The sequence below is a fragment of the Homo sapiens genome, chromosome 13 (genome assembly GCF_000001405.40).
Source record: "Homo sapiens chromosome 13, GRCh38.p14 Primary Assembly".
Classification (NCBI taxonomy): Eukaryota; Metazoa; Chordata; class Mammalia; order Primates; family Hominidae; genus Homo; species Homo sapiens.
The window spans coordinates 71,713,649-71,733,736 of record NC_000013.11 but is presented as its reverse complement, the minus strand read 5'-3'; the positions used below and the strand labels follow the sequence as shown (position 1 = coordinate 71,733,736).

General features: G+C 33.8%; 1 protein-coding gene across 6 annotated transcripts in view, besides 1 other annotated feature; it reads left to right on the top strand.

The window, feature by feature from the left end:
* The window catches only part of DACH1 (dachshund family transcription factor 1), a 429,239-nt gene that overhangs the window by 133,468 nt on the left and 275,683 nt on the right, over nucleotides 1–20,088 (top strand). The window lies entirely within an intron of this gene.
* Nucleotides 4,935–7,020: an enhancer, noted in NCBI's record as "VISTA enhancer hs137". NCBI's record gives its function as "enhancer in: hindbrain (rhombencephalon)[3/3]" and the evidence as "EXISTENCE:transgenic organism evidence [ECO:0001131][PMID:17130149]".

Genomic DNA, 20,088 nt, shown 5'->3' with positions numbered 1-20,088 from the left:
GCTACTGTCATTAATAAAATGGCACCTTATGATGTGAAATTGCAAAATGACTAGCTTACTTTTAGGAAGTCACCAACACACTGGGATAATCTGATTGACAATTACATCATATTTTTATATTTAAGGAGTCCTTGCTCCTGTGTGCTGTCTAAACCACTGGTGGATGAATACTTTTAACAATTCTTAATATATATTAGTGCAGTGCTGAAGTTATCAAAGTGGGTCCGAAGAATAAATATATCAAATAGCAGTAATAGGCCAGGTGTGTTGGTCACACCTGTAATCCCGGCAGTTTGGGAGGCTGAGATAGGCAGATTGCTTGAACCCAGGACTTCAAGACCAGCTTGGGCAATAGAGTGAGACCTTATCTCTACAAAACACAAACAAACAAACAAGCAAACAAAAAACTTGGCCAGGCATAGTGGCGCACACCTGTAGTCCCAGCTACTCAAGAGGCAGAGGTGGGAGGATAGCCTGAGCCTGGGAGACAGAGGTTGCAGTGAGTCGAGATTGTGCCACTGTACTATAATCTTGGTGTCAGAATGAGACTCCGTCTCAAAAAACAATAACCAAAAAACCCCCAAATAGTAGTAATAATTTAAAATTAGAATAAAACGTGAGCACTTATGATGTATTGTTTTTCACCATTTATGAATACCATTTTTTTTTAAGGACCTTGCTATATGGTTAGGGTTTGGTTGTTTGGAGGTGAAATTGGGGAAAGGCATTCCAGACAGAGAAAATGATATGAGTAAGTATAGGCAGATAGGAAAGATCATGGGGAACCAAGAGAAGGAATTGATGGTAGAAGATGTTAGAGTGAGTTTGGAATCAGACCATAAAGACATTCCAGTGTCATGCTAAGAGGTTTGGAAATAACCTATAGGGGAGTGATTGACAAACTGTTTCTAGAGACGGTTAGATAGTAAATATCTGTAGGCTTTGCCAGCCTTGTGGTCTCTGTTGCAACTATTCAACTTTGCCATTATAGTGTGAAATCAGCCACAAAATAAACAAAAGGTTGTGGCAGCATTCCAATAAAACTGTATTTACAAATAAAGGTAGGCAAGATTTGGCCTACAGACTATTATTTGCTGACCTCTGCTCTAGAGAAGAGGGACCCAATTGGTGACTTTTTTTTTTTTTTTTTTTAGAAATAGTCTCACTCTTGTCACCGAGGCTGGAGTGCAGTGGCGTGGTCTCAGCTCACTGCAACCTCCACCTCCCGGGTTCAAGTGATTCTCCTGTCTCAGCCTCCCAAGTAGCTGGGATTACAGGTACCGACCACCACACCCAGCTAATTTTTGTATTTTTAGTACAGATGGGGTTTCACCATGTTGGCCAGGCTGGTCTCGAACTCCTGAGCTCAGGAGATTCATCCGCCTCGGCCTCCCAAAGTGCTGGGATTACAGGTGTGAGCCACTGCGCCTGGCCCAGTTGGTGATTTTTAGGCAAAAAGGAGAGGTAATTAAACTAACTGCTGAACTAGGACAGTAGAAGAGGTAATGAAGGAAGAGATAGATTGGACAGAGCTTTTGAAGTAGACATTATAGATTTCATGAAAAATTCAAGGAAAAAAATAAGTCGTCTTTCATATTCTGGAGCCTAGATGGAGCTATAGATAATGGTGGAATCAAGATCCCCCAAATATTGGCAGGCTGGAATGATAGATCAAATATAGTTAACATAAGTTTTATAAAGGTCAATGTATGATCTTCGTTGAAAGGATTCAAAATGGTGTACTTAGCAGTTTACATTCAGAAATTATTTGAAGATTTTAGTTGACTACTCTCAAGCTCAATTATGAGTTTGAAGAGACAGCATAATGAAGCAAAAGAGTATTGAAATGATCTCAGAAGAACCCTTGGAACTATAAAACTAGTTATTCCATTGGATCCTTAAAATAACTGCTGAAGAATGTAAGGCATGAACTTTTCTCTATAGAGACAGAATATTTGGGAATTCAGATCTAAGTTTCTTTCACAATTGGATCCAGTTGGATTGAGCATCCATTCTCAAAACTTCACAATATTTTAACCTCAAGCAATTCTGACAGCGGAGTCTAGTCTACGATTTGAGTGTTAATATTACAACCATGGGAATTAGGTAAAAAGAATATTCCATAACACCATTTCTAAAGAACATCAAGAAACAGGCCAGGCGCGGTGGCTCACGCCTGTAATCCCAGCACTTTGGGAGGCCGAGGCGGGTCGAGCACGAGGTCAGGAGATCGAGACCATCCTGGCTAACACGGTGAAACCCCATCTCTATTAAAAATACAAAACGTTAGCCGGGTGTGATGGCGGGCGCCTGTAGTCCCAGGAGGCTGAGGCAGGAGAATGGCATGAACCCGGGAGGTGGAGCTTGCAGTGAGCCGAGATGGTGCCACTGCACTCCAGCCTGGGCGACAGAGCGAGACTCTGTCTCCAAAAAAAAAAAAAAAAAAGAAGATCAAGAAACCAAGGAAAAGAGAAGTTAAGTGGCTTGCTTAAAATCACCTTGCATTCTAGTAATCTAGTAATAGACTCAACATTAGAATCTTGTGCTGTTGTATTTTTAACCCAGGCTTATCTGTTTAATAACACGACTGGCTCTTGAAGAATATTACAGAGAGAGCTTTCCTCATGGAGTTCAACTACTTTAGACACTTCAGATTATTGCAAAAGTGTTCATTCTCACCATCTTTATGTAAGGTAGATAAACTACAATTAAGTAGGTAATAGTTAATTGCTATAACTGTATTCCGTTTGAAAAAAATATAAATTAAAATATATAATTTTAGGTTCCTGATATGCTTTGAATGCCTTAAGAGTCTCAAAAGGACACAACTACATTCTGAAATTAAGAAAATGTAGCCCTTAGAATTGCTTAAAATCATCACATTTCAAAAAAAAAATACTGATTTGTATAATTGTAGCTATTTTACATGACAATTATAACTAATAAAAATAATGATAAGACAATAACAAATCTTAATGGCTGAATGTAAAATAAAATTTGCTTTCTGCTAAGTAAGCTCTCAGGTGCACAACAAAGTACATAATGCTTTAGGTGTTTGTGTGTCTGTAAATGCCAAATAATGAAGAGTGTGTGTTTGTATATATCTGTACACACATATACATATATGTGTGTATGTGTGTGCAAACACTCATATGTACATGCTCACACAATATATAAAGGAAGAAATTAAAATTAGACAACATTATGCAATAAAAGTAAACATTTTGTGATTGATTTTTTGACTTTGCGTGCATGACTCATGCTTATTTCAAATACATTCAGAATGAGTAGACTTGTCCTTCATGTGATTGAAAACATACATTTTACACAACTTTTTATTGCTTCTCTGTACTTAGCTTTTAATCTAGGAAAAAGAAATGTGTAAATAGTTTAAATACTTGATTCCTCTTGGAGAATAAGTTGGTACAGAATAGAATAGGCTGGTAGCCCCAGGTAATGACTTCTGCCTTTCTTAGAACTTGTTTTCACCTTTGTTGCTTTATTTTTCTTTATTTTTCTCTTTTTTTAAAATTATTATTATACTTTAAGTTTTAGGGTACATGTGCACAATGTGCAGGTTAGTTACATATGTATACATGTGCCATGCTGGTGTGCTGCACCCACTAACTCGTCATCTAGCATGTTTCTTTATTTTTCTAGTTATAAGATTAGAAAAACTGATCAACTTTCATTGTACCATGAAAAAATGTCTTTAATCTTATGTTTCTTTATAGACATGATACATATATACAGAATAACTTGTTAAGATGATTTTTGAGTGGAGCCGCAATAAATGTTCATTCCATATTATTGCATTTAGGATACATTGGTAAATCAGAGGATTTTAAAATAAAGGTGGATTGGTAGTGAATATTTCTGTTACCCAGGTGCCCATCAGGCTTGGCTTATTCTGCTTTATGGCCTTGTAAACAATTTTGAGAAGTTTTATTATTTTTAGTGTACGTTGAGTAATTCTAATTACCTAATATTCTTCCTCTGGAGAGACTGAAAACTTCGACAATACACTAACAATTGAATTCACATATGCATATTTTATTTTAAACTGATTCTAAACAAGTTTCATTCTGTGGGTCTGTCATTGTGTTTGTCATTGTTATGCATAGATTCCACAGGACCTGACTAACATTTAACAGTATTAAGGGATGTAACATACATAGCAGTATGCTAGCAAGAGAGTGATTTTGTGATAGCTTCATTTTATGGATATCAATCCTGATTACTAGTGATAGACTACCATAACCCAAGATTCTTTTCAAGGTCATTGCCATGTTGATGCTTTCCTTAATATATTTACTTTTCCTAAAGAGGAGTGGTGTCCTTTTATGTATTCATTTGTGTGTGACTTTTTAAATAAGTATCTCTTAAAATCTATCAGAATGTTCTCTCATATGTGTGGACTAGATAGATTGCATTCAGAAATGCCATTTTAGATCTGATTATTAATCTAAAGGGGCTATGAAAAATAAAAAGAAAGCAAATTCATTTTGGGAATAATTTATTCAAAATAAATGTGCACTCTGGGACATGAAACAAGTTCACTTAATCTGTACAAACATTTAATGCAAAATCTTCAATTTAAATGAAGTGCCCCAGGTGAAGCTCTCCTCTCTATTGTCCATCACTCTTAGATGTTTTTGTGTTCTTTTACTTGGGATTTCTTCATTAATCTGGGGTAAATTCTTTTGTAGGATGAACTAAATAAAAAAAAGTAAAGTTTTCCATATGCTTTCCATTCACTGTCTATTACACTGAGTAAGGAAGCTGATTATCATATTTAATTTACATAGTTAAAAAAACCTCAAAAACCAAACAAAACCCAAACAGGTGGTTTGTATTGAAGAAATAAAATAAGCATTATTATTATAGAATAGGTCAATTCTTTTTCTATTACACATTACTTGGATAGAATAAAGTAGACAGCTCATGCTGAGAAAACTGAAATGTAGAGAATGCAAGAGTTAAAAGACAGACAATACACTCAGTAGTGTCTCAGGCATGGATCTCTGAAAATTATGAAGAACCATCCCACTTGAATGAATAAAAAGCATGAGCTTATCTGTTGTTTGCTTTCAGTTTTGAAAGTCATTTTATAAATTGGGGATGCTAATGATTTCATCCTTCTGATTAAATTTATAGAGTCATTTATTTCTCCTATGTTAAATGTATTTGTGAGGAATTCATGGAAATTATTTTTATTGCTGAATACAATTTTTTTCTCTTTAGAGGCACAGTTTTTGTAAAGTGAAAATATTTATGATTATGCTAGTATAGTCCTTAGAGTCATTTACTCATTTCTTTAGACTCTTCGGGAGCAAAATCAACCAAAAGGTGTCTTTGGTAATTTAACACTTAACCTGAGATGTTAAGGTTTTAATTTGGGAAATTCTAATTTTGGGTTCTAAATGGGTGTTTCCAAAGAGATATGATCATAGTTTTGGCAAGTATCATACAGTAAAATAAAATCCCTCATGTTACCAAATGAATTTTCTAAATATTTAAATTGAATAAAATGCTTTCTTTTTATACTGAAGTATATGCACTTCATAGAAAACTAATGATTTTGAAAGGTAGTTTTTCCCGTTTTTCTATTTAATTGACATTTAATTGACAGCATGTTTTCAGGAGCAGAGATTTTTGAGAGTGCTGATACATTCATATATTTTAATTGTAGAAATCCTGGACATGAGGAGTGTTTTGCATTAAGTTTCGCACCTGATCACATTCCTGTTGGAAGGTTTCCAGAGTGTGGTCTAGAAAGGACTGTTACTTCCAACTTGTGCCACTGAAATTAAGATCTACTCCCCAGAGAAGACAAGTGAATTAACACAGTATGCTTTATGCACAGTGAAAACAAACTAATTTGGGTTACTTACTACTTTGCTTAGAACTGCAAAAAGTGCAGTAGCATATACTTGCAGCTGATTGAGTGAACTCCATTTTTTATATTAAATATAGAATCAGTGATTTACTACAGGGCTTTGTTTCAGGTTCTTCTGAAATGCTAACAGTCTCTGAAACTAGGCTTTTGTGCCAACTACATTCCACAGCAACATTCTCTTCCTTTTCCATGTCCTCATTTTCAGCTCTTTATTGGCTGATTGTTGATAGCAAATAATAAACATTAAAAATCAACAGACCTATAACCTACATCTTTGTACATATCAAACACATTTGAATAGGGAAATATCATCAATGCCATATTATTAGCAAATAAAGAATAATCACTCAGACATGAAGAAGTATTCAAAGACTGGAAGATTTTGGTGATGAAGACAGGCGAAATAATAGAAATGTGCACCAGGGCTGTTGGTGTATCTTGTAGGGAAGATCTAGAAAATTAGATTAATCAAGGAGCAGACATTTGGAAGAAAGTTTGTGTGAATGCCTGACAGTCTTGCTCTTTCCCTCATTTCAAATGTTGGCAGGGTAGCAGGCAGCTCCAAGGGAAATGTGCTCCTTTCATACTTGAGTAATTGATGAATTGTATGCAATATGCAAATGAGAATCCATAAATCTTATGAATGACAGCTTAATTTATGTGAGCCTTAATGAATGCAGGATTAGATTTTAATTAAATATCCTCAAAGGCACCCTGAGTAGTAGATTTTTTTAGGCCTTGTTTTTTGAAGACTTGTTTCTCAAGCAATGCATTTTACAAAAGCGGAAAATCAGGCAAAGAATTCAGCCTATATTTTAATAATAAGCATTGTTTCATTTTACATAGAAAACAGCAGATCAATTGATTGGTCTTTAACAAAATATGTATAGATCTATTTATTTTCTAAACATTTCTCTAAATTCGATTACTTTTATTGTTGGTCTCTGATATCATATGCTATTTTTAATTCTGAGAAAGTTATTAAAACTTTACTAAAAAATATACCAGAGCTAAAGAATTGTTTAATAAGAGATATATTAGATAGATAAACATTTAAAGTATCAAATATAATTAGAATAAAATAAAGTCTTCCTAACCATTGTTTTCTTTTTCAAAATTGCCTCTCTAGACAATACTTAATGAGATAAGATGATAAATAAGACTATTTTATACATGATATTTAATAAGGAGACTTGTATACTAAAATTAAACTGAAATGATGTATACTCCTGTGGAATAGTTACCTCTTTAATTCACTTTAGTACCTTGAATTTAAATATAGATTTTTCATTGCCTATTTATTGGATGACAAAAAAATCACTTTATTTTTCTATTAGGCGTATACTTTTTTACTTAGAATTTGTTTAATTTAGGATGAAAATGCACATGTGATTTGGATGTTTAGATATCCAAACAATTATTTCTTACATTTAAAGCGTTTTCTTGTTAAGTCACGCTGAGTTTACTGTTTTTAATACTCATCAGTTGTTTCAACTAAATCAGTTTTAAATCTCAGACATGGAAGTATTCTTTTGCTTTTTCTCTCAGTAATGATACTAGTGCCTATGTGCATATAAATAGGAAAATTCACATTTTCCCCTATTAATGAAACAAACTTATAGGGCTTCAACATGCGGTCTATTCGCCTCAACTCCCTGTAGCATTACAAGTGTATAATTCATTGAGAAGAATAGAGGTTTAAAACATGCCAGGCAGAGTCTTGGTCCATAGCTGAGATTCTGAGGGGGAAGCATCTGTGAGGACCTCAACTGAAATTGCATGCACAATTTTAGGTAAATCACTATGTGTTCATTAATGATTAAAGGGGTCCGTAACTTTCAACAGGTTCTCCAAGGGGATTTGTTATCCAGAAAGACAAACTATAATGCAAAAGACAATAGCAAATACATAACTTTGTGGAGCAAAGTGTATCTATTTGAAACCAAAAAAGCCCCATGTAATCCAGTGCCTTTATAAACCATGCAGCTTTCTAAGAGATCAATCATGTGTAAGCATGCTTTCCTTAAATCTTCCACTCATATTTTTTAATACTGTATTATTTATTTTCAGAGCAATATCCAAACAAAATATCCTGCATTTTTGTTTTATTTTCAATGATGATTGCCATCCCAAATATTGTGAATTAAGGAGCTTATTTCTCTAATAGATATTATCAATTATATTTTTAATGTGTTTATGTAAAGAACATCTACTAATCAAAGTAAAATTTATACATGCTACATAAAATGGCAATATAATTCTAGACAAAACAAATTTTAAGATATTTAGCAAAAAATCAAGATTTAGCTAGCTTTAAAGTTTATATTTTATATAGTTTCATCAACTTTACTCTTATTGGTACCACTCCTTCCCTAGGGCATTTTACTTTAATATTAAATGTTAGATACCACAATGCACTCAGAGAAAGAGAGGACTAACACTTGAATGAAATGACAGCTTTTGAGAGGAGTTTTAGAAGTAGAATTCGATATTTTGGTTAATTTCTATTTACTTTCTCTCTCTTTTGTCTTCTTTTTTGAAACTCAGCTGAATCCGTAGGTTCATTTTCTTAGAGGCTACATTGCTCAAAACAATTAAAGCTTTGTCAAGAAAGGTGCCTTTTGAGAAACATGGTTTTTTGACGCTAACATTCATATTGCTTTGATGAGACTTGTTTTGCTAAAAATTTTTCAAGTCTTTTTTGTTGTACTAATTTTATGTTCAAAACCATTATTTTCAAGTTTTCTTTTGAATTTTTTTTTTACAGTTTCAGTTTCACTAAGATATGCTATAATCCACATGTAAAGTCCGTTTTTTGCCAATTGTAATATCACATTTTGATGTTTTGCACTTGCAAATGGAGTGTTAGAGAGAATTGCTTGTTCCTTTGCAAACCCAAAAGTTATAGTTAGTTGTGATTGACATTCATTATAACATAAAGGTTCATCCATGAAGAAACATTTCTAAGACGAGTGTTTGAGACTGCCAAATATTTGAATGTTTTTATTCCTCTAAAGTAGTCTTTATGGAGCTAATTGGAGCTTAAAAAAATACAAATGGACATAAATCATAAAGAAACTTACTTGCAAGTTCCTTTACAATTCTTCTCTGTTTAAAACTCTAGGCATAACATAGTTTCTTTCTTTTGATATCATAACTAACATACATTTTCTATGTATTTTTTGATATAAGTAATACTTTATTCAATTGACTTGGAAATAACCCATCTACTTTGCTGTGTATAAAAAAATTCAGAAATGGAAGTATATGGTATAGTTGTATCATATCAAGAGTGTTTCCAAGTTATTTTGAACAAGTTATAGAGCAGGTTTTAGGCAAATGTTGATGATCTCAGGATTTCTGTTGGTCAGTTGGAGTAATTTAAGATTTAAATTGGCATGCATTGAATATATTGTTTTTAGTTATTATAAATTTAATTTTATTTATTCATTCAGTAAATTATATTTGCTAAAGGGCAGAAAGTTTTGCCTAGTTGGGAGTCACCAAATGGAATTATCCAAGTATAGCAAGCTGTCTTCAGTACAGTTTTGATGAAGGTTTTCAAATGTAAAATTACTTCTCACTTGAGCTAAACAGGATAAATACAACTATAAACCCCTTAGAAGTTTTTGATGATAGAAGTTTTTTCATATTTGTTTCCTTTATTTTGAAAACAAACAAGTTGGAACTAGTTTCCATTAGATACGAATTTATTTTTCTACTTACCTTAGGTTTAAGTGAATGCCTACAAAATTTCAATACTGAGAGGGCTTTTCAGACTAATCTAAGAATTGCTGATTCCTATCAAAATAGTCTGAAAGGAAAGTGAAAACAAAAATACAAAACAGGCCAGGTGCAGTGGTTCAGGCCTGTAAGCCCAGCAATTTGGGAGGCCGAGGTGGGCAGATCACTTGAGGCCAGGAGTTTGAGACCAACCTGAGCAACATGGTGGAACCCCGATTCTACTAAAAAGACAAAAATTAGCTTGGTATGGTGGCACTTGCCTGTAATCCAAGCTACTCAAGAGGCTGAGGTGGGCGGATCACTAGAGCCCAGAAGGCAGAAGTTGCAGTAAGCCAAGACAGCACCACTGCACTTCAGACTGGAAAAGGCAGTGAGACTCTGTCTCAAAAAACAAAACAAAACAAAACAAAAAAGCAAAACAATAATTTATCATTTAATTTGTTAAGAAACAGAAGAGGATTGATGTGGGATTAGAACATAAATTTTTAAAAAACCACCTTACTAAAAACAGATTTTATTGCGTCAAATGCAAGTCAACATCAAAAGAGGTTTTTAATATTACTGTTCAGGTACCTATTTATTTGTGCGGTCTGAAGTTATAAAATATCTTAAAACATAATGCCAAATATTTGGGGAACCATGTTAACCATGTTAACTAGGACACATTTTATTTTATTTTTTAGATAGGATCTCACTCTACTGCCTCGGCTGGAATGCAATGGTGTGATCAGGGTTCACTGCAGCCTCAACCTTCTGGGGTCAAGTGATCCTCCTACCTTAGGCTCCTGAGTAGCTGGGGCTACAGGCATGTGCCACCACGCTGGACTAATTTTTTTTTTTTTTTTTTAATTTGTGTAGAGACAAATTTGGCCTGGTTTTCCCAGGCTGGTTCTCAAACTCCTGGGCTCAAGCGATCCTTTTGCCTCAACCTCCCAAAGTGCTAGGATTACAGGTACAAGCTGCTATGCCAGACCTAGACACATTTTAATAGGTTTTATTTTATTTAGGATAGAGAAATGTACAACGGTTTCTGGTTTTGACACAACAATCCATGAAAAAGATGAAAAGAAACCTGGAACTCAGCACATTCTGCTCTTTTGAATATAGATGGTACTGAGTCATTCCTTTACAAAGTCTCCAAATAACAGAGATATTCTAACCCTAGCCCCTGCTCCTAAGCATTGAGGGAGGAGGTGATAAGAATCCTCCTCCTCTCTTTAGCTACACCCCCAGCTCCATCGTAGTTTATGAGAAAGCCACGAATAGTATATTGAAGCCCCACAGCAATGATGTAGACATTGAACCCAGAAAGTTGAAGTTCATACAAGTAAAAACTGAAACCTGTACCTTCTGACCCCAAATCCAAAGCTCTTTCCTCAACTTTTGAAACTGAATGATACTGTGTGTCTGGCTTTTCAGTACTTTATCAACATATTTAGAACTATTGTTTCTAGCAAGATAAAATAATAAATGAGAAAATGATATATATCTGTTTGGGGATTATTTTAAATGCATACAGATTTTTACATTGATATAAGCCAAGCTCACTATGATGATAGTTTTCAAGTATTATTATCCGGAAGTACCCCCTTCCCAATTTTCAAGTTCTGTCCAGAAAGCTATTAAGTAACCAACCACTGCTTTCTTTGGTGTTCGGTATGACTTAGTCATGAGTAGCTGCAACTGGGAGTTTCACATAGGAAGGACTTGTTATATTCCACCTCGTAGTCATTAGAAGGGAATGTTGTTCTGTGAATTATTTTTTCTAAAAGAAGGAAAGAAGCAAGTTGATATTTTCTCTCAAAAGGTAGAAAATCTCATAGGAAATCAACAAATGTCAATATGGAGGGAGTTAGTAAGAAAACAAAACTTACTAAACTTCTTAAAATCACCCAGAATGTCTGTAAGGAAAGCCAAAAGGAAGATGGTTTCCTCACTTTCATCCTGATTGTATTACCTGTTTATAATACAGAAACTCATTTATAGCAAATGGCATATGCTGGTTGTATACTGCTAAGGAATATTACTTTCTAATATATAAATTATTCAAAGTGATGATTCATATACTGGAGTAAAAATAATTTAATGGTATAGACTTATAATTGCCTAAGAGCATAATTTCTAATTCTATCCTTATAATAAATATCATTCTAATAGATACACTATTCAAAAGGATTATTAAAGCTTCAGGTATATATTCATAACTTTAAGTGTCTATAATGTACCACTCAAGAAGTAAAATGCTTTAACATATTGTTAAGAACTTTCATCTAAAATCTTATTTTTTAAATGGATATCATATTTCTTTTTTTCCAACATACTTTTAAGGAAGAAAAAATGATATGAGGATTTCTTAATTATTTTATGATATCGCACAAAATAAATAAAAACCTAAGTTAAAACATAATTCATTGCACAGCAAATTACTGAAACAAAAGAGAAGAAAATGAGGACTAGTCCTTTTTTATTATTCATATGACTTGGTGATTATTTTAGTTCTTTTGAAATAGTGGCTGCAAATGAAACGTAGACTGTTAATTGTGACATTGCTATCAGAAGCCTCTAAAACCAAGCTGCTTTTAATGAATGCAAAGTCAGATAATTACAGAATTTGGACTACCCCTAGTTACCAAATGAGTAAAAGTGGCATTTAAGTGTTTGGCCCTTTAGTTCAGAGCTCTTAGTAGATGAAAATATGTTCATCTCTTACCTCCCCTAGTGATAATTATAATTGTATTGTTGGATCACATCTCTTGACTCTTGTGTAATTTAGCTCTGTCAGCATTAATCTCTTGGCTGTTCACATCAGTGGAACTAAATGTCTGCTTAATATTATGTAGGTTAGGTGGTTGTCATCCTAGTTGGGAGAAAACAATGAAAAAATTTACTGTGGTGTTAGGCAAATGTATTATGAGGGCATCAGGCTCAATATCTGAACATCGACACTATGTATAGGGAAATCATGTTTGGATATAGATTTTTACTTTCTTCAAATAAAGGATTAGTGTTGGCTTTGTTTCTTAAATATCCATAGGTAATGTTTCCCTATTTTTTCCAACCAATATTATTATTGTTGTTTGTTCTACAGTATTTTTAACAGGAAATAGCTGTGGATCATCAAGTAAGAGAGAAATGCATTTTATAATGCAGATTTACATTTTCCTTTCAGTATGTGATGACAGGGACATTTATCTGGGTGTAGGAACAATCTGACAAGTGTGAGAGATAACTGCTTGATATAAAGTAACTACTGCAAGAAAATAAACTTTTTGATAAAGACATCTTAGAACTGATAAGTAAAGTTTAGAGAACATAACTGTCTGCTATCATGTATCATGTTTTTACCTTTATATTGATCTGGATCTTTTATATGGATAGCAAAGCATTGACAAAGAAGGACTAAAGTAGACATTTATATAATGCACTTTCAGCTGCAGCATTATCTTTACATGTTAGCAGGCAAAGGATTCATATTTCATTAAAATACCGATAGTATTCTTTATAGAATCTGAAAATTTAAACACCATGGAGTGCTTTGGAATTTTAAATGAATGGTTTTCATTTATATTACATTTTAATTTAGTTAGTCAAACACATTTGTTAGACATGATTATGAGCTGAGCCTTGAACTAGACGTTATGGCTGACAATAGGGTAACAAGGTGTGTCTCTTGACACACCTATATATATTTCTGAGAGAGAAAATATATTTGGGGAATGCAAAAATGTGCTGTGAACAGCAAAAGATTTAAAACTTAGTAAGAGAGCATACAAATAAATACTATTCATATGTCAGTGAAGTCCAAATGTCTGCCAGCCTCCTGGAGTCCATTCTTTCTTTTCTCCCCTTCACATGCTGGAATAAGCCATGCTAGCTTTCCTTTGCTTTCCTGATCAGACTTAGGCCTTTTGCACTCACTAGTCCATTTGCTGAGACATTTTCTGCTGATTTTCCCATAGCTTCACCCATCCATAGCTGCTAACTTCTTGATATTCAAGTCTCATCTTCTTAGAGAAGTCTTCTGTGTACAAGTAATTTAAAGACAGCATTTTAGTAGTTTATTCATCTATTTATGTGTTGTCTTTCTTCACCTAGATTCTTCCCCAGTACGTAATAAACTCTCAATAAATATTGAACCAAAAAGATAAATAAAGAACTAAAAGTAGAAACAGTTAATATATTTCAATAAGGCTTCCTGGGGAGGTCACTTTTTATTTTTATTTATTTATTTGACAGAGTGTCACTCTGTGGCCCAGGCTGGAGTGCAGTGGCGTGATCACAGCTCAGTGCAGCCTCAACCTCCTGTGCTCAAGTAATCTTTCCACCTCAGCCTCCAGAGTAGCTGGGACTACAGGTTCATGCCACCAAGCCAGGCTAATTTTTAAATTTTTTGTAGTGATGGGGTTTCAGTATGTTACCGAGGCTGAGATTGAACTCCTTGGCTCAGACAATCCTCCCAAGGCCACTTTTAAAATCTGTTTTTGATGGAAAGAAAAGTGATACTCTTCTTCTTTACCCAAAAGAAAAATATAGGTAATAGAATAATACACACAGATAGTGAGCATAGTATAGAAAGTGTACTGTGACTTCTAGAAAAAAATCTATGTCTATTCTTTGCATTGCATGAAATTGTAATGTGAACTGAAATGTAGTCAAATTGGTGAGAATGTGGGGTGTTAAGTTTGTAAAGAGGCTGAAAGACCAAAAGAAGAGGCTTGGTACATGCTACAGTAAGACATGGGATCTATGTTGTTCCTTGAGCAGAAAATCCTATGATTAAATAAGCCATTCTATTTTGGGTCAAAGACAACCTTTCAAAGGTGGCCTACAAAGGCTCATTTACTTTTGTACTTAAGAAATAGCACCAGAGGTTGCATTCATACAGAAGAAGGAGCCTCTTTTAAATGCAAATACTCATAATTTAAGCTTTTAACTTTAATTATCAATTAAATCCTCGCAGGGTTTAGTTGACTGTTGAAAGCAAAATACTAAGATGTGTAGATGTCTGGGGTGATGGGTTTAAATGTCAATGGGAGGAGTAAGAATGCCAACAGAAAAGAAAGCTCCACTAACAGTAGAGACATGAAGATTGCCAGATTATAATTTTCCTAAAGCTTGCTTTGGCTATTACTTAAAAATCTTCTTACCTAATAATTTTTATTCTAAAAGCAATGGGTAGGATGGTTTATAAATGGGAATGTTGATAGAGCAGCCAGTTATCAGGATAACATAAGATCCTAAGGAAATATGCACCTAATTAATGAAATAGCAAACAAATGGAAAAGAAACAATATGTTTGAATACATAATCAACTCTACTTGGTGATGGAGATTACAGAGAAGGGAATACAGTTTTAGAAGAGAAAGAGGCCTCAGCAGTGGGTGAGCTAAAGCCTGTAACAAATGCCAGTGTCAATTTTACAACATCCTGATATACTGAGTAAGTTATCTAGCTCTACCTGAACATTGAAGGGAGAAGGATCTGGGAGAAAGAGATTTCTATTTTTTTTTTTTTTTTTCAGATATGGTCTTGCTCTGTCATCCGGGATGGTGTGCAGTGATGCGATCATAGCTCACTGCATTTTGGATTTCCCTGACACAAGTAATCCTCCTCCTGAGTAGCTGGGAGTATAGGTGCACCACCATGCCCAGCTAATTTTGTTTTAATTTTTAGTGGAAATGAGGTCTCGCTATGTTGCCCAGACTGGTCTTGAACTCCTGAGCTCGAGAGATCCTTCTGCCTGGGCCTCCCAAAGTTCTGGGATTGCACGTGTGAGCCAGTGTGCCCAGCCGGAAGAGAGCTTTTTTTTAAGTCTAACTGTTATGCTCTTTCTTCCGTTTGGCAAAAATAATCTATTACTGAGTTCATAAGTGAAAGGAATGAATTTAATCTGTCTTTTATTTGGTTAGCTTTTATTCAATATTTTAAGGTTCCCATTTTGTTCTCATCTTTTCCATGTGAGACCATATGCTCTCTTTCCTTCTTCATTTGTTCTGGACTTTCGAATCCTTCAACCCTGTGGTTGTTCTTTTCTGGGGCCTTCTAGGTGATCCATGATCTTTTTAAACACTGGGACACGTGATTCTACAGAGTCTTTGGGTAGCAAAAGACCAAATGAGAGTGACATGCTCTCATTGGTTCTGGTTACTCTAATTAACACTTATTAATATTACTGTACTTGATTTCTGTGTTTTTTTTTTAATTTAAAAGTTTTTTTGGACTACTAATTCCATATTGGTTTTGACTGAAAAAACGAAAGAGATGTTAGATCTAAAGATCTGACTGATGAGCTTATGATGAATATGGCAAGTCTCAAATGTGGCTGGTATATTCAATGGCATACATCAAGATACAGGCTATCATTATATTCCTAAGTAGCAGGAATCTGAAGAAAACTAGATTTTTTTTTCCATCGACTTTATATTTTCCTCTCCCTGAGAGTTACGAAATGGACAATTTAAATTATGAATGGAAACGCAATTTAACGAAAAAACATAAAAATGTGTAAATAAGAAACAAATCTAAGCGGGCATAGAGGCATAGAATTAATGTGTGTGTGTGTGTGTGTGTGTGTGTGTGTGTGTGTGTGATTACACACACAGGTCCTTGCAGTGTTTTCATTTCTGGTCACCACCTTAGCAAACTAATCAATGAGGCATGAACTGCTATCTGCAGTGAAAGAAATGTAAAATAAACCAGAGATAATCCCTCAGTTAAAAGGTTATTCTGTGTGATAAAAGCTATTTTGTTAATTTATTTACTTACTGGTACAGTGAGATAAAGTGAAAGTACAATTAGGCATTTCTTGTTGAAAGAATTTTAAAGGGCAATGATGACTTAATATTCTGTATTATTTGACTGACATTTAAAATAATTTTTAAACTAAAATTTTTTGTAGCACACAAAATTGTGTATTATTTTGCTTTAGTTTATTTTATATTTTGAATTTTGTAGGTGTGTACATAATATAATTGATTATTCAGTAAAAATGAATATAAAATCTTCTTTGGATGAATCCTTAGCATTAGGTCTCTTAATTTAATGAGGGATGGAAATTTTTTGGAAAGGCTATTCCTGTAAAGTAATATTTTCTGTTAATTACATGCATGATGTATACTTTAAAAAAATAGTTAATTACCTAATGCATGCAAGGCTTAAAACCTGGATGACAGGTTGATGGTTGCAGCAAACCACCATGGCACATGTATACCTATGTAACAAACCTGCACATATATCCCAGAACTTAAAGTAAAATAAAAATAAATTAAATTCAAAAAATAATTCATTTGTTTCTTCTTCAGCTGATTCATCCAGCAAACAGTAATACTTTTATCCTTATTACCAGACCATTGAATTCTGGCAAAAGAGGAATATATAGAACATAGTTGCTGCATTTAAAGGTTTTGTTGGCAGACTAAAATAATACATAAATTATTATGTTAATAGAAAGACTAATATGATACTATGGTATTCCATGATACAATAGAAGTAAAAGGCAATTGGTGAGCACTTGGGAAGATTAGGGAAGAAGTTGGTGAGAATTGGTGTAGGGCTTCTCACATGTACAACTGAAGGAATGGGCATTTCAGGAAGAAGGATTAGATCTGTAAAGCATGAATATGTGAAAGTAATTAGGTTCCAACTACAGAGTGAGGGTAGGAAAGTTATGAGAAATTATACCTGAAAGGAATTGAGGTGCTAGATTTTGAAGAGTCTTGTATGCTATGATAAGAAATTTGGTGAATATTTAGATTCGCAGAAGGCACTGAATGTGCTATAATGTTATTTCTATATAGAACACTTAGGTCAGTATCAAACACTACAGGAACACAGGAGGACCTGAGAGAAGGCAGGAGCAATGTGAATGAAGAAGAGAGTGAGTTGGAAGATGTATCATAGGCAGAATCAATAGAAGATGATGATTATTAAGCTAAGAAGTAGAAAGTACATTGAAAAAGAGGGAAGGATTGGGAAGACTCTCTGGGCTCTGGTTTTGGGGATTGGATGGATGGTGGTTTATTTTCTGAGATATGTAATGCAATAGGTAATGAGGTGCAGGTTTAAGGTAGAAGATAAGAAGTTTACATCAGACATGTTGAATTTGAGGCACTTGTGAAATGTTCAGATATCACTTACACCTCTAGAAAGATAGATTTCAAACTCAAGAGAAAAAGGAAAACATTATTTCTGTATTCCCAGATGTTTGTTTTAATAATTGATAAGCTAAACTTCAATTTAATTTCTAAGCTGATATGAAATTATTTGAGGGGTATAGATTTTTCAGTCTCCAGAGTTTTTGTTATTTTTTTTTAGGAGAAACAACTGAAGAAAATTATTTTTCAGAGCCCATTAATTGTTCCCCGAGACTGAAAGTTGTCTTTTTATTTACATAAAAGACATATCTCGTTCTCATTGGAAATACTCTGCATTAATATACTCTATGTTCACCAATAGACAGCTATTGAAATTAGCTATTTCAATAGATATCAACAGCTGTTAAAATTTCTGTATAATACTTTTACTCAGAGAAATCAGGCAGGGCAGGAGGAAGAATAGTGACATTGAGTTAGAAATGAGATTAAGATAATGGCACAAATATAGGAAACCGCCTTCTTAGGTTGGAAGAATGTACCCTGAACAGAGCAGCATACACACAGCCATCTTTTTCCTTTGTGCTCACTGTTCACATTCTTATTAAATGCTCTATGCTAATATTAGCTTCTTTGACTATTTTATTTCAGGTTTTTAAGTTTTATTGGCTATAGCACTTCTTGAGGGTGTTAGGGAAGGGAAGATGTGGATACCAAAAGGTTAAGTGACTTGTCAAGGTCACACATCTAATAAGTGACAGCTTCTGTCTTTTGATCCATGGCAAAGTGACCTTTTGTCTCTACTATTCAGAGGCACCATGGTATAATGGAATAAGTACAGGCTTTGAAGTCGGAGATACATGGATCTGACATAAAGATCTAAAATTTATGAGTCATGCTGTTGGGCCAGTCAGCTCAAATTTCCTCATCTGAGAGATGGAGATAATAATATCTGCCTAAAACGGTTGTTGGAATTTAAATGAGATAGATATTTTACTTACCTGTTAGTAGATGTTCTGTGTATGTTAGCTATCCCTTTTTTCTCAGTTAAGTCACAACCTTAACTCCTTGTTCTCAAACTTGGAAAAAAGAGAATCAGTGAAGCCACTATCAAGAGTTGAAAGGGTAGACCAATACTTTCTCTGCCTATTTTATTTCTTGGCTTCATGATCTTCTTTCCATCCTTTCTATTTTAAAATACATTTTTAAAAAATCTCTCTTATTGGTGCCCTAAATATTCTAAACATTGATAGGTTTCTTTAAAGTCAAATTAGTGTTTAACCTGCACTTTCAGTAATATTTTTTATATTACTACTTGGAAAGTCAGCTCAAGAACGGGATAAAAATATTAATCCTATATTTTCATAAGGAATCTTTACTAAATATAATAAAATTCCACAGATGTCTTTTATTTTTTGTTTCGTCCTCCCATTTCTCAAATGTGTATAATACTGGATGTAAGCATACACCAATGTAAACCTACACCTACAAAAATGAATTTCAACTAATAACTAACTTACTCAAGTTAAAGTATGAACAAGTTGTTGCTATAAACATGATACTTTTCGAAAAGGATTCTTACTATTTTGTAATTCTGGAAAAATATTATTTTAAGGACAACTATTGATACAATGGCCCATGTCCTGTTTTGTTTTGTTTTGTTTTGTTTTGTTTAATTGTCCCCGTTTCTTCGTTCTGTTAATATTTTTAACTCCTTTTTATATGGGGGCAAAATTCTATTTTCTTCTTATTGGTACGTTGAGGCCTAGTGTTGCCATAACAAAAATCTTATCCACATGATCCAACTCTCCTATTGGAACCACTGAAACTGTTTCTATGAAAGTGTACCATAAAATAGCCCATATGAAATAATATTCAGGAAGATATGATATAGCTGAGCATCTATTTATGCACAGTTGACATTTTGAAGTAATTCATAATAGTTAATATGTAATAAATATATGATATTCAAGTATCTGTAGAGACATTTTGAGAGAGCTTCAAGTAATGATAGAATAACTTTTCCTTACCATTATTTTATCTTTATTAATTTTTTCTTAATATTGTAGTTGAAAATAAGAAGTGGTAAAAAGGCTGAATCTGAACTACCTCTATAATACTTATTTATGATTATTAGAAATTATATTTGTCTAATTTTTCTGAATTTGATCATTCTCTTTTAAAATTTTGCTTGTAGTATTACAAATTCTTGAAAACTGGATTTAAAACAAAAATCTAATACACCTTTTATTGAACGAGATGGGAATGATGCTACTACAATTTATCTAATACATTGCTTATCATGCTGCAATTGCAGAATAACAAATATTTTAATTTGTATCTTTAATCAATTAT